General features: G+C 40.3%; 1 long non-coding RNA gene across 1 annotated transcript in view; it reads left to right on the plus strand.

Moving 5' to 3' along the window:
- Window positions 1-15,526, plus strand: part of MIR3681HG (MIR3681 host gene) — a 571,233-nt gene that overhangs the window by 539,096 nt on the left and 16,611 nt on the right. Inside the window, exon 5 of the long non-coding RNA NR_110196.1 lies at window positions 11,995-12,233. This is a non-coding gene — a long non-coding RNA (MIR3681 host gene). The remainder of the gene's footprint in view (window positions 1-11,994; window positions 12,234-15,526) is intronic.

The following is a 15,526-nucleotide window of genomic DNA, read 5'->3' on the forward strand; positions in this document are numbered from 1 at the left end:
TGGTACATGGTTTCAATAAGGTTGTGGTGGTCATAGGTAGCAATAGATAGCAAGATTAGTATTTTTGGTTGGAAAATCCTAATATACTTAACCAAAAGATGGTCTTGCTTTCCCTTCTCCTGAGTCTTGGTCAGCCCAGTAAGCAAACTAATGGGAAAAAAAATGCTCGCTACTATTTTAACTATTGCTCTTAAAATGTACAGTTGTGTAAACAAAGCAAAAAATTGCAGAGAGGAGATATGGTGAAAATAAACATAGTATTATTTTTAGCTAATGTGCGGATATTAAAGACAATAGAATGCAACTTTTTGTATGTGTGTTTTTTGAAAAGTCAGGTCAAACTATCCAATTGAGAGACCAATCGTATGGATGAACATGCTGCCATAGCTCAATACCATGTCTTTAAAATATGCTCACAAAGCACATAGAGCCAGCTTGAGACTACTGCTCTCCTATACTGTAACAAGGATGATAATTTTTGAGTGATTGTTCATAGATTCATCCTTCCATTTCTGGAGACTTATCATTGTGCTATAATTGTGCATGTGAAAGTATTTTGGTTAGGATCATAGTGATAAAAAATAACTTCAAGCAAAACTAAAACAAGTTAATATTTTATAGATTCCGAGTATAAGATAATCTTAGAGTTGATCAGCTTCACCATGATCATGAGCATGAGGCATGCACTGTGTGTGCTGACATGATGTGACAACCAGTGGCAAAGCCTCTGTCTTAGCAACAACACACCTAAGTTTGATTTCTGTCTCCATCAATGACTGCGATGACTTTGGCAAGTTACTTAACTTTTCTGCTATTCAGTTTTTTCGTCTGTCAAACGGCAGCAATAAAACCTAAGCAAAAAACATGAAATACCGATTCAGGGCTATAAAAATGGATGAGAATTGCTGAGAACAGCACCTATTTACAGCAGAACAAACAACAAATGGCCATTTCTTCCATTTATACAGATACAATATAGATGTGAAGAAATGCACACTTGTGAGTGTGTGTGTGTGTATAGATTTCTCTAAATGAAAAATAAACAAAAACTTTTCTAATTGAAAGACCAAATCACAGCTGAATGGCAGTACCCAAAAATCACTGATTCATCAGTTAGCTTTGAACATTATTTTCTAAAGGAAAAAAGCCCAATGTGGAAAATGATTAATACTCAAGCGAAAAACACTGAAAAAAAGAAAAAGAAAAGGTGGAGAAGCTCATGGTTTTATCTAAGGCACCAGGTTTACTTTATTTTCAAAACAAAAAAAGTGAAAAGCCCATAAAATGTGCAACCAATGTCTCTTGAAAGCACATGAGGTTTTGAAAGAAGACATGTTAATTCATTCTCTAGCTTCATAGAAGCCTCTATCTAAGGTAATAAAACTCAGCACATTTTTAGAAGACAAGGGGGAAAAAAAAACCCTCTCAGTATTGTAGGTGTATGTATAATTCCTTAAAACCTGCCAGTACCTTGTCACTGAAGAAATGGAAAAAAAAAAAAAAAATGCCACCACTAGCAAAGAGAAGTGTGCTAATGTAAAAGTGTGTTGCTTGGCAACAGATTAACTTATTTAAACTTTCATCACTGCTTTGAAGAAGATGCTGCAAAGAGAAAGACAAAGACCACACAGTAAAATGCTTGGGATCCGTGGTTTCAGGAGGCCTCCAAAGGACAAAACACACCTGCCTGGAGCTGAAACCAGGAGTTTGCAAACTATGTTTCCAGAGAGCCCGGGTCAGCAGGATTCCCACTAGATTCAGCCAATAGGGGGCACTACCTGGAGATGACAAGGCTGGGGAAAGAAGTTGGGAGTTTGTGCCTCTGATTGTGTGGAAGTTACTAGACACAGCTGACAGTGAGCATAGGGAATGGCAGGCTCCAGTAATCCCAGGGGAAGTAGCACCTGCTTAGCAGCTCCAGCTCTGGCCCAAGCAATGCCCCTTTAGTAGAGTCAGGATCCAGGATTGGGTGTGGTAGCATCTCCAACAGCCCAGGGCAGGAGTAGACTGTGGCTGCCAGCACTAGGGTGTTAGCCTAAGCTGGTGGGTAGATCAGACCTTTTTTCCTTTTTGTTCCTCCACTTCTTTAGTTTCTCTTCTGTTTTTTTCTGGCTTTATAACACCTTCCCTGTATTAAATTCCCTCCATTTGAAACATGTAAAGTGGTTTCTGACTGGACACAGACTGAGAGAAGTTTAGAGTTTTCCTCAATAGACTCAAATTACGGAGCAATGTGATATGGGCGACAACAGAAATCAGTATTATGTATCGAGCTAGGAAAGTAATTGTGATGAGCATTGAAAACCTCTCTATAGATACAGATAGATATAGATATAGTTATAGAGATGATATAGATATATAGATAATATAGATATATAAACGTAGATGTAGATAGCTTATGTAAATGATATAAATATAGATACAGATGCAGACATACACATCCTTTTGATCCGGTTTCTCTGGGAAACGGTGCCTAACACAGGCATAGAGGGGGTGATGACCAGAAAGTGAGGCCATGAGTTGGCGGCCAAGGCCAAATAATGAAGATCTCCTGGTATCAGCTGAAGGCCTTGGGACTTTATTCTGAGGTTCATCAGAACCACTGATAGTCTTCAGGAAGAGGAGCAAAATGGTCATATTTATTTTTTTGAAAGCCGCCTGCTTGTAGATGTGTAAGAGATGAAGCTCCAGGGAAACTAGATTTAGGAGAGCATGACTTTTAAGAAAACAGTTCCTCAGAGTGTTCAACTGAAGCTCTGCCCATCAGTGAGGCATGTCTCCCACTTTCCAGCCATTCAAGCCTTCCTAATACTTAGAGCTCTATTCATTCTTCCCTGCTGACAACTTATTTTACGGTGTGCTTGGGCCACCCCGGAGGCAGAGTTTCTTTTTCCCTTTGCTTTTAATCAGATTACAATGACAAAAAACTATAGGAGAGGGTTTAGCTACATCCTAGTGGACTGATTAAGGTTCAAAGTTGTTATTCTCGACATAGACCATTTCAGTGACCACAGCTCACAAGTCAACAGTTTGGGTGCCAAAAAGTACATGGAAACAGAGACGACTTCTATATCCAGGCCCTGACAGCCTTCATGGTCACAAGAGAGCTATTTTGATTAAAAAAAAAAAAAAAACCTGTGGCCCAGGTCGTGGACTGGGGATTAGCATGTGTTCTTTGTTATCCCACTAGGTGCTTTTCAGAGTGATGTAAACTAGTTGTCCACCCTGCAAAGGCTCCAGACATGGAGCCAGGGGTGTGTTTTCCCTGAGTTTAAGGAAACTTCAGCTCCAGAGCCCGCCATGTGCGTGGGCTCCTTCCAAGGCTCTCAGAAAGTCCCTGACCATGTGTTTTGATGTTCATATAGTTTTGTAAAATTTGCAAAAGTAAGATATTTTAATTGTAGTCAATTAAGACTGTGCCTTTTTCCATTTCACTTTTTTTCTCTGTCCAACTTTTCCTCATGTTGAGTGGTGGTGCAGAGGTGGGCGGCATTTTGAGGATTTAATTGAGAAGAACCTCAGTTAGGGTTAGTTTGGGTTTATTGAAATGAATTCCTATGTCTCCTAGTCACTTCCAGAACAATTGAGCTATTGCTAACCATCCTGGTGTAGAAATGGCTTCTAGAATATTCCTGCCACCCACTGTGTTGACTCACCCAGTGCCATGACAAAAAAGAGCAGGGCCAGAGGTTGATACACAATACAAGCTTGCCCCAAGGCTGCAGAAATGTTCGGGGAGCAGAGGAGAAACAGGTTTTGAAATGTGAAGGCTCAGAAGCTAATCTGTGGAAAATGCTTTCAATCATCAAACATGTAAAACTGCAAGCAGATAATTTGAAACAGGAGTTCTATCTGTCTCAGAATATGCTTAATTATACAGCATATACAATTAAAACACCCCACATTGTTTTCTTTTCGAAGGGAATTAGATAAAATATAATTATGAAAGTGACTATTTAAGTTTCCTACTGATTTGACTGGAAATACTGACATCGTCAAAATAGCAAATTCATAACACGCCATTGCAACAAAGGCTTCTTAAAAAGCTAGTTAATGAAGTTTGTCTAATCAAAGATTTTGAGAATGGTTGCTACACAAGAAAATGTGAAGTGGCTTGAAATCTTATATCTTTGAAATCAATGTGATGTGTTTTTTTCCAAATTTGACAACAGTAAACATTTTCATGGCCTTACTGATAGGGAGTTTGAAAGTAACAGAAGTTAAAGGAATCAACCGACTATGCAAAAGGAAAGACCTTGAGTTCTCTTTCCCTTTTCTTAATAGAAAATATTATAAAATTATTGTCATCTGAAGAGATTATCAAAGATTATAGCACTTGCCATGGCATTTTGCTAATAAGGTCTCAGTGATTCCTAGCCCCTCTTCGTCTGTGAGTTCCACAAAGGTGTAATCTCCAATCTAAGGGCCTAGAAGATATCGGAGCTCAGGGAATATTGGCTGAATAAAAGAAATGCTTTATGAGCACTGCATTTTAAAAAATTTCCATATATCTATATATACATTGGGAATATATATACAATATTATTTATTCATATTAGTAATAGTCAACATTTATTGAACAAATACTGTAACAGGTATTGGCTTAAGCACCTTATGTATGCTGTTTTTCAAAACATATACACCCATTAAGGTAATTACAGAAATCCACTTAACTCACTCCAAAGAGTGGAGGAGATTGCGGTGGAAATGTTTTTGTCATAGGTAATTCAGGCAACTGTTGGACATTTTCCTAAGGTTAGCAAAATAAATGAGCACAATGTATCGAATTGCCTTTATTTTTCTACAAAAATGTCATTCCACGTTTGAGGAAGGGAACATGGTGGAAGGAGCACAGCTTTGGAGCCATAAAGATCTGAGTCTGACTTCATGCTCCATTATCTACCAGGTGGGGGATCTGAAAAAGTTGCATAGCCTGCCTCACTGTGCCTTGATTAGACAGTAAAAATATCAGTGAGAGCCTCTCAAGGAGAAGCGAAGTTTACTTTTCAAAAAAATTTTGCTGCCATTTCATCAACACACAAACATATATGAAAAGAATGAGAAGAAGCTGTTTTACCCAGAACTTCCTCCTCAATACCAAGTGCTGCTGGCCAAAACCACTATGCCATTCACTGGTCATCTATTCAAGCCTTTTTCAGAAGAAAGACAAGCTCAGATAGCTCAGGAACTGCTCCTCACACACCTGCAGGGCAGGCAGGTCCTAAAGATGCTGGTAAATCCGACATAATCACATCCCACCTGGCGCCACCTCCCCAGCCCTTCCTTCACATCTAGAACCCTGGGCTGCAACCACAGGAGTTCACTCACTCTTGTTCAAATGTGCCTTTTCTATGTCTCCCTGCAGCTTCACGTGCTATTCCCCTTACTGGGACCCTTTTCCTCTCTTCTTCACCCATAACCTTTCACCTACCCTTCAAGGCGCAGCTTAACTACCCCTCTCACTGTGAAATCTGCTTGAATGCCACCAGACGGAAGAAGTCACTTGCCCTGTATAGCCCTCCTTGGCTCATCCTTTGAACGTTTTTCTACAGGTGTCTCCATCATTAAACTATGAACTGTAGGAAAGCTTTTTCTTTTTTTTTTTTTTTTGAGACAGAGTCTCGCTCTGTCGCCCAGGCTGGAGTGCAGTGGCGCTATCTCGGCTCACTGCAAGCTCCGCCTCCCGGGTTCACGCCATTCTCCTGCCTCAGGCTCCCGAGTAGCTGGGAGTACAGGCGCCCGCCACCACGCCTGGCTAATTTTTTGTATTTTTAGTAGAGACGGGGTTTCACCGTGTTAGCCAGGATGGTCTTGATCTCCTGATCTCGTGATCTGCTTGCCTCGGCCTCCCAAAGTGCTGGGATTACAGGCGTGAGCCACCGCGCCAGGCCCGGAAGCTTCTTCTTTTGTTTGGGGAGGTTAGGGGTCATGATATCTTTGAAGAAAAATGCAAAGCTATTTCAAGTCTGCTCATAAAAATTGAAAACAAACGTCTTTTGGCAAAAAGATGGAAGAAATAGTGATTTCTGAAGTCAGAAAGAGGAATACTAAGAAAAGATCTTTGGTGGCTGAATAAAAGCGGAACTAACAAAAAGGAAGAGACAAGAAAGACAGATTTGTCTTTGGTACTAAAAACCACGGTTACTAGGTTGGTGCAAAAATAATTGCTGTTTCGGATCATGAATTTTAAATCATTATAACTAGGCTCAAACACATCTTTATTAATCAAAATGGGAGCCATTACAATCAAGAACTTTTTACCAATAAGAAATTTGTTTATTCCTGTAGTGTAAAAATCGACGCTTTGGGATTCAACAAACTCTTGGAAAGCATTTTCTGCATCCTGCTGGTTGTGGAAGCATTTTCCTGGCAAAAAGTCATCAAGAAGCTTGAAGAAGTGGTAGTTGATTGGGAGAGGTCAGTTGAATATGGTGGATGAAGCAGAGCCTCATAGCCCAATTCGTTCAACTTTTGAAGTGTTGGTTGTCCGATGTGTGGTCCGGCGTTTTCATGGAGAAGAATTGGGCCCCTTTCTGTTGACCAATGCTGGCTGCAGGCATTGCAGTTTTCGGTGCATCTCATTGATTTGCTGATCATACTTCTTGGATGTAATGGTTTCGCCAGGATTCAGAAAGCCGTAGCGGATCAGACCAGCAGCAGACCAGCAAATAGTGACCATGACCTTTATTTGGTGCAAGTTTGGCTTTGGGAAGTGCTTTGGAGCTTCTTCTCTGTCCAACCACTGAGCTGGTCATTGCTGGTTGTCAAATAAAATTCACTTTTTGTCGCATGTCACAATCCGATTGAGAAATGGTTTGTTGTTTTTGTGTAGAATAAGACAATGCTTCAAAATAACGATTTTTTACATTTTCACTCAACTCGTGAGGCACTCACTTGCCAAGCTTTTTCACCCTTCCAATTTTCTTCAAATGCTGAACAATCGCAGAATGGTCGTGGTTGAGTTCTTCAGCAACTTCTCATGTAGTTATAAGAGGATGAGCTTTGATGATTGCTCTCAATTGGCTGTTGTCAGCTTGTGATGACCGGCCACTACACTCCTCATCTTCAAGGATCTCGTCCCCTTTGCAAAACTTCTCGAACCACCACTGCACTGTACGTTCATTAGCAGATCCTGGGCCAAATGCGTTATTGATGTTGCAAGTTGTCTCTGATGCTTTACAACCCATTTTGAACTCAAATAAAATCTCTCGAATTTGCTTTTTGTCTAACATAATTTTCATAGTCTAAAATAAATATAAAATAAACAGCAAGTAATAAGTCATTAGCAAAAAAACATAAAGTGAGAAATGCACATTAGAATGATGTGTAACATAACCACATTTGTTTCAGAATGTATTCCAATATCAAAGATCAAATTGCACAATGCAAACACCACCATTACTTCTGCACCAAATCAAGACAAACAACATGGATGTCCATTTGGTGCTAGATGGAGTAAGATGGAACCTGGCCTGATGGCCAAGACCAAGACATTTATCTCCCCAAAAAGAGTTTCTGTTGGACAAGAGAATGATGATAAAGAGGTGTGGTAGTCCCCCGTGGGATGCTGGAAAAGAATACCACAAATTGAGTGACTTGATTAATCTTTTCATAGTTCTAGAGGATAAAAGTTGAAGATGAAGGTGAAGCAGGGTTGGCTTCTTCCTGGCTTGCAGATGGTCACCTTCTCACTGTGTCCTTATGTGACCTTTCATCCTTGTTTGCACATTCCTGGTGTCTCTTCCTCTTTTAATAAGGACACAGGTCTTATCGGATTAGCTTCCCACTCTTTTGACAGCATTTAAACTTAATTAAATTGGTAGAGGATGGGAAATTACTTAATGGTACAGCGTATGCTATTCAGGCAATGGGTACCCTAAAAGCCTTGACTTGACCACTATGTAATCTATACATGCAAAAAAATTACACTTATATCCTGTAAACTTACATGAATAAAAAATTAAATAAGCTTAATTATCTCCTTAAAGACCCTATCTTTAAATACAGTCACATTGGGTTACGACTACTTCCACATGCGGATTTTAGGGGGACAGAACTCAGTCCATAACAACAGAAGACCACTGAAATTGGAAGAGGCGTGTGATTCATTCCAGCTGCTGCACTGCGGCAGATCCCAAGCAGTGGCACTGACAAGCTGTGTCACCAGGCAGAGGCTGACACAAAAGAGCAACCCAGCGGACTAAAGGCCACATCTATAGCAGCTTAGAAGCTGCCTCAGCCTCATGCTGTGGGTCCGGCGCAGGTTAAACAGGCTTGGGCAAGGCTAAGAAGGGACACAGCGGGGGTTGCTGAAGAAGAGTCAGGAGTTTGTCCTCCTAAGACCAGGGCAGTTTAGAGACATCATTATCACATTTGCATCTCTGGTTCCTAGGAGACATCGGGGCACAGGGTAAGTGTTCAATTATTCACCAATGAACTTCAAATGGTTAAATAGTTGAGAACACAGGGAGCTCCCCATTACTGGCTGCATCTGTCCAAGGGGCTATGAAAAGTGGTCGTGCATTGAATGAGACCTTGAAAATCTTGTCCTGGTCTAACAGTCTGACTCTTTGTTTACATAACAAAGTGGATCATAAAAAATCCCCATCTCTTTCTACGTCTGAGTAGATTTTCTTAGTTTACACTGTCATCTTGTGAGCTATGTTTGTATTTTGCATATGCGTTTGCCCCATTTTGGGGTGGCATTTTAAGGGGATGATGACTTATAATGTTCCTTCATTAGAAACATTGTAAAGCAGGATAGGTTTTTATGGCTCTATGTCCTTGTGATGCACATATGTGGGCAGCACTAGTAGTATCTCATCAGAAGCTTTCTCTTCTTTCAACTGGGTCCACAGGTTGAACTCTTCCTATGAGTGGAGCCCTAGCACTGCTCATTGCCCTGCCTGGCAGTGGTGTGGGAGGAGCCATGGCCCACCGGCCCCAGATCTTTCTAAGGGGGACACTGAATTACATTGTTCATCTCAAGAGTTAAACTAGACAAAGTGGGCCCAAACCTAATAAGACAGCCCATTAGGAACATTTTCTGTGCTTACATCTTACTGACTTTTATCATAAATTAGAGATTTTGAAGAGAATGAGTCATAGAAAAAGAAAAAATAATAACCTGGTTCAGCAATCAGCATATTATATCTCCCCAGTGACTCATAACATCAGACTCAAGTCAGGACAAACAGAGTTCCTGTCAGAAAGAAGTGCAGTTAAAAATAAAAGCAAAAATAGGAAGGGGTGGGCGGGCAGGGTGGGGGGAGCAAAACCTTTTAAACTGTGCCTAGAACTCTCCCCAGCCTGGATTCCCTAATGAGGGATTTGAGGTGCAAATAGGCTGAAAAGCCTGAGTCAGACAGCAGGAGGAAGCAGCTCCCAGGGTGCAAAGACAAATGGATTTCTTAATAAAATCCTCCAGGAAAAGAAAAGCAGCAGAAACCATGAAGTATGGATTATTCGTTAAATACGAAAGGGGCCTGCAAGAGGGCTTCTCCTAATGAAATCGTGGCACAATTTCATGAAGAAACACAGGTTTCAGAGTTAAACCAACTTGCATCTTAATTGTGGTTCCACCAAAATTGGCCGTGCAAGCTTGGAAGGATCCTTGGTTTTCACATCTGTTGGATGAGGATAACAAGCCACAGCACAGAGCTGTTGTGAAGATTGACCGATGCTAAGCATGTAAAGCACTTAGCATGGTGTACACATTTACAGGAAAAAAGACTGACATTAAATAATAATTTGTCTTAAAACTATAGATGAAAATACATCTGGACAGAGTTTGCTGAAGCTTTAATTGATAGACTCAGATAAGTGTCTATCAAGCATGTCACAGAATCACAGCTTCGTAAGAGTGGATTCAGATGCCGCTGACTAAGGCCATGGTACCCTTGAACATTTTATTACAGCAGAAAAGGTTAAGCAGCTTTGGCTGGTCCAATAGTTTCCCTGTTCTACATGAGTTCCTCTTCTTCGGTTTCTCCCCAACCAGCCTAGCCAGTGCTTTTAGTGCACATTTGAAAACCCAAAAATAAGTTTGCAGCCAAGCAACTTTGGATTAAGCTTTGATTCTTCCAGTTACTACCTATGTGACATTGGCGAGATGCTTCACCTTTCTAAGCCTTAGTGGCACACCTGTGAGATGAAGTAAGTAGCTACTATCTTAAACAGATGCTATGGAATTTTGAATGAAGAACTTGAAATGTCTAGCATAGTTTGTGAGCACAAAAGTAATTGACAGACTATTTTCATTCCTCTCTCCTAACTAATGTATGCATTTTGTTAGCTATAAATAAGACAATCAATAGCAGAAACGATCTACCTGCCGTTTACAGGAGAATATTTGGAAAAATGTCAGTCCAATTTATAAGTGTTTACAGAAAAGAAGGAGCTAAGTGAACGTCCCACTCCTCAGGCCAATATCTCTCAGCCTTTGTAATCTTTGTTCTGTCATTTCCAGAGAGGAAAAAACATGTCCCTGATAAGTGGGGTTGCATGTGGTCCTCTCAGTCACCAGTCCCAGTACACTGCTGTGAAAGGTTGTAGACTTTGGAGACAGACTTACGTGGTTTTGTGTCCTAGTTTCTTGCCTTAAAGCTGTATAAAGTTAATAAAATCATGGAAGTCTCCATTTCCTCACCAATGATGCAGAGAGCTACCTCACAGGCTTGCCCTAAAGATTAAACCACACGACGGAAGAGCCTGACCTATGAGTCAACAAGGGCTAGCTGCTGTGTGGCTGTCCCAGGCCATCCACCATTCTGCATGTTTCTTGCTACAGCACCCAGGACTTTGCTGTTTGCACTTCCTCTGAGAGCAGACACCTCTCATGAACTCCTCTGAGTCTTCGTCCTTGTAAATATCTGCAGTGTGGAATCAGTCTGCAGCTAACACTCCTCCAGGTTGCTCATGAAGTCACATGCAAGGGTCATCGGCAATGGTGAAGAGCTGCAGAACTAACATACCAGAGGGAGTGGCAAAGCTTTCTAAACTACAAAGTCTTTATAGCTGTGATCCTTGCTCTGGAGTTTCTAACTCCCACCTGAGAGGGTCTCAAGCTTATCCTTATTTTTCAGGATGTGGCTTATTGTATCCTCTTGATCCTCACTCTGCATCTGCTTACATTGTTACTGGAAGAGGTCTGGATCCAGACCCCAAGAGAGGGTTCTTTGATCTCATGCAAGAAAGAATTCAGGGCAAGTCCACAGAGAAAACTAAAAGCCAGTTTATTAGGAAAGTAAAGGAATAAAAGAATGGGCTACTCTATAGACACAGCAGCCCTGAGAGCTGTTGGTTGCCTATTTTTATGGTTATTTCTTGATGATATGATAAACAAAGGGTGGATTATTCATGCCTCCCCATTTTGGACCAGATAGGGTAACTTCATGACATTGCCATAGCATTTGTAAACTGTCATGGCGCTAATAAGAGTGTAGCAGTGAGGATGACCAGAGGTCACTCTCATGGCCATTTTGGTTTTGGTGGGTTTTAGCCAGTTTCTTTACTGCAACCTGTTTCATCAGCAAGGCCTTTGTGACCTGTGTCTTATGCCAGTCTCCTATCTCATCCTGTGACTTAGAATGCCTAACTGGGAATGCAGCCCAGGAGGTTTCAGCCTTATTTTACCCGCCCCCTACTCAAGATGGAGTCACTCTGGTTCAAACGCCTGACAACATCACAGTGTTTCACTCCTAGAAACGTTGAATGCTTGAAATAATAGTTAGCACTCAGTGTGGCAGATTGTAGTCTCCATAGTAATAATTCTGGTCCCACATGGTCTTCCAGAATTTTGTGATCAAGAAGCAGAGCAGATTTACCCACACCATGAGTCTTGACAGGTCTTAATGGCTGGCCCAACAAAGAGGCGTGGCAGAAGGGACACAGGGAGCTTCTAAAGCTGGATTCGAAAAGGTACTACAGTTTTAGCCTCCTTCTCTCTCTCCCTCTCTTTTACTCTCTCTTTCTCTGCGTTTGTCTCTATTTTAGGAGCCTTCATCTACCACATAAGAATTGCAGCAAACCCTGCAGCTATCCTGAAGCTGCCATGCTGAAAAGGCCAATTGGGAGACCACATAGAGACCGAGAGAGACTTCCAAGGACTCCAGCCAATCCTGGGCCCCAGCAGTTTGAATCTCCCAGCAATGCCACCATACAGGAGAGGGAGCAAATACTCAGAAGATTCAAGTGCCAGCTGCATGGGTTGATACCTACATAAAAGGCATTGGGTAAGAACTTTTGCACTGAGTCCAGTCAACCGCCAGAAATGTGAGAAATAATAATAAAATGAATACTGTTGTTTAAGGCCCCTACGGTATAGGGCAACTTGTTATTCAGCAACAGTTTGCTGGAAAACCTACTGATACCTGTAAGTGAAGTGTTGCTCTAACAGAATCTGAGACATGAGGCAGTGGCTTTGGGACTAAGTAACTAAGGGGCTTTAGGATTAAGGGATGATGCAAACATTGAAAAAGCCTTGGAAAAACAGTGGGAGCTTAATGAACCCCAAAGAGATTATCAGGAAAGACTTCAAAGGAAGTGAGAATAAGGCGATTAGGAGTTGGAAGAAAGGAGACTTTCTTACAGAGTGGTAGAAAGTTTAACATCACTACTTCCAGCTGTAAGGTGGAAAATAGGCAGTCTATCTCATGCCTTGGATGATCCAGCCAAGATTTCTAGGTGGAGTGTTGATAGTGCTATGTGGCTTCTTCTTATTAAATATAGTAAAATGCGAAAGGAGATAGAAAATCTAAAGAAAGAACTGTTAAATATAAAAGAGCTAGGACCTGCCAGGTTTTGAAATAAAACTTTTTCTTGTGCCGAGCCCCACCAGTGGCCAAACAATGCTGAAATTCAGAAATGACTTCTGGAAAGGAGACAAATTTATAATTTTAGGAAAATATGATGTAAGGGAGAAGCTAAGAGTATCAAAGTAAAACACTTTGTTAAGTCCATAGAGCAATTTAAGGTGTTGCCTAATAGACCCTTTCAATAGACAGAAATCCTTCTAAAGATCTTGAGGGCATGACTTGAAGATTCTATTCTTTAACCAACAGTTTTTCTGAGAATGTTAAGATCATTGTCCCACAGTGTTCCCCAAGGGAATCCATGGCACAGAAAGAATTATCTTGAAGAAATTGTGGAGTGGCTTGGATCTAATGGAGTGAATTATAAATTGATTCGTTGAAAACCCAGAATGTTTCTAAAGGAAATTTATTAGCTTACAGTGAAGGGGCTATCAAAACTAAGAAAATACAAAGAGATATCAGAATCTTTTGTTTCTATAGGTGGGAAGCAGGCTGAAAAACTACAAAGTTGGGTACATGTGCTACATTTTTCAGAGCTATATACCATGGGAATGATTTCCAGACATTAGAGCTAAGCTCTGATTAACAACTGACAACTTGCTTTCAGATACCTGTTGGCCATGAGTATGCCTCTTTGGAGAAATGTCTGTTTAGGTCCTCTGTTCATTTTTTAAATTTTTCATTGAGGTATTTGGGGTTGTTTTGTTAGTTTTGCTACTGAGTTATAGGAATTTCGTATATATTTTGAAAATTAAACCCCTTCTCAGATATATGATTCGAAGACATTTTCTCCCATTCTGTATGTTGCCTTTTTATTCTGGTGACTCTTTTCTTTGCTATACAGAACATTTTGAATCTGATGTAGTTGCACTTGTCAGTTTTGTTTGTATTGCCTATGCTTTTTGTGTCACATCCAAGAAATAATTGCTAAGACTAATGTTAAGATGATTTTTTCCTTTTTTTTTTTTTTTTTTTTTTTTTTGAGACTGAATCTCACTCTATCGCCCAGGCTGGAAATCAGTGGCACAGTCTTGGCTCCCTGCAAACTCTGCCTCCCAGGTTCAAGTGATTCTTGTGCCTCAGCCTCCCAAGTAGCTGGGATTACAGGTGCCCACCACCACACCTGGCTAATTTTTCTATTTTTAAAGACACAGGGTTTCACCATGTTGGCCAGGCTGATCTCAAACTGCTGATCTCAAGTGATCCACCCACCTCGGCCTCCCAAAGTGTTGGAATTACAGGCATGAGCCACAGTGCCTGGTCCCCTGTGGGGTTTTTTTTTCTTTTTTTAAATTTTACAGTTTCAGGTCTTGCATTTAAGTCTTTAAAACATTTTGAGTTGCTTTTTGTGTGTAGTATAAAGTGATGGTTCAATTTTATTTTTTATTCATTTATTTTTTAAAGGTCACAAGATAACCTTTATAGGTAAAAAAGAATGCATTCAATAAAATTTAAAACACATTTATGATTAAAAACTAAAAACTCTTAAGCCATGATGGAATAATTAGCATCAGATTAGCTCTTTCATTTCAAACAACTATAAAACAGGGTGAATATATTAATTACAGTGTTCCCGGCACTATTTGTTAGAGACTATCCATTCTCCATTGTATATTCTTGGTACTTCGTCAAAAAGTACCAAGGTCAAACCATACGTGCGTGGATTTATTTCTGGGCTCTCTGTTCTGTTCGATGCAGCTACGTGTCCGTCTTTATGCCAGTATCAGACTAATTTCTGGAGCCTTTAATATATTTTGAAATTTTGAAATCAGAAATTTCAGGGAAATGAAAGTCAAAACCGCAATGACATATTACCTCACACCTGTTAGTATGGTTAATTTCAAAATAAGAAACAGAAGTTAATGAGTGTAGTGCAGATGTGGAAAATTTGGAACCCTCGTATGCTGTTGATGTGAATGCAAAATGGTATAGCCACTGAGGAAAACGGTGTTGAAGTTTCTCAAAAATTAAAAATAGAACTACCATATGATCTAGTAATCTTCCATCTGGTTACATATTCCAAAGAATCGAAATCAGGATCTTGAAGAGATATCTGAACCCCTATGTTCACTGCAGCATTATTCACAAGAGCCAAGATATGGAAATAACCTGTGTCCATTGACAGACGAATAGATGAGGGAAACGTGGCATATACACACAGTGGAATATTATTCGGAATTAAAAAAAGAAGGAAATCCTGAATCCTGCTATTTCTGACAACATGAGACTGCAGGACGTTATGGTAAGTGAAATAAGACAGTCACAGAAGGACGAATACTGTAAGATTCCACTTTTATAAGATGTGTATAATAGTAAAACTTACAGAAATAAGAATACAGTAGTAGTTGCCAGGGGTAAGGGGATGGAGAAAACAGGAATTTGTTTTTCAATGGGTTTAAAAGCTTAGCTAGATGAAGAAGTTCTAGAGATATGTTGTACAACACAGTGCCTGTAGTTAACAAGGTCCTATGTACTTTAAAATGTGTTAAAAGGCTAGAACTCATGTTAAGTGTTTTTGCCACAGGCACACATCAAAGACCTCAAAACATAGGGACACAAGGAAACATTGGGAGGTGTTGGATGTGTCTATTAACTTCATTGTAGAGATGGTATCCTCAGTGTTTACATACTTACAAACTCACCAAATTCTACATATTAAATATCTACAGTTCTTTGTAAAGCTGTTTAAAAAAGCTGACAACCTGTGCCAGGGT

Source organism: Homo sapiens, chromosome 2 (assembly GCF_000001405.40).
Source record: "Homo sapiens chromosome 2, GRCh38.p14 Primary Assembly".
NCBI lineage: Eukaryota > Metazoa > Chordata > Mammalia > Primates > Hominidae > Homo > Homo sapiens.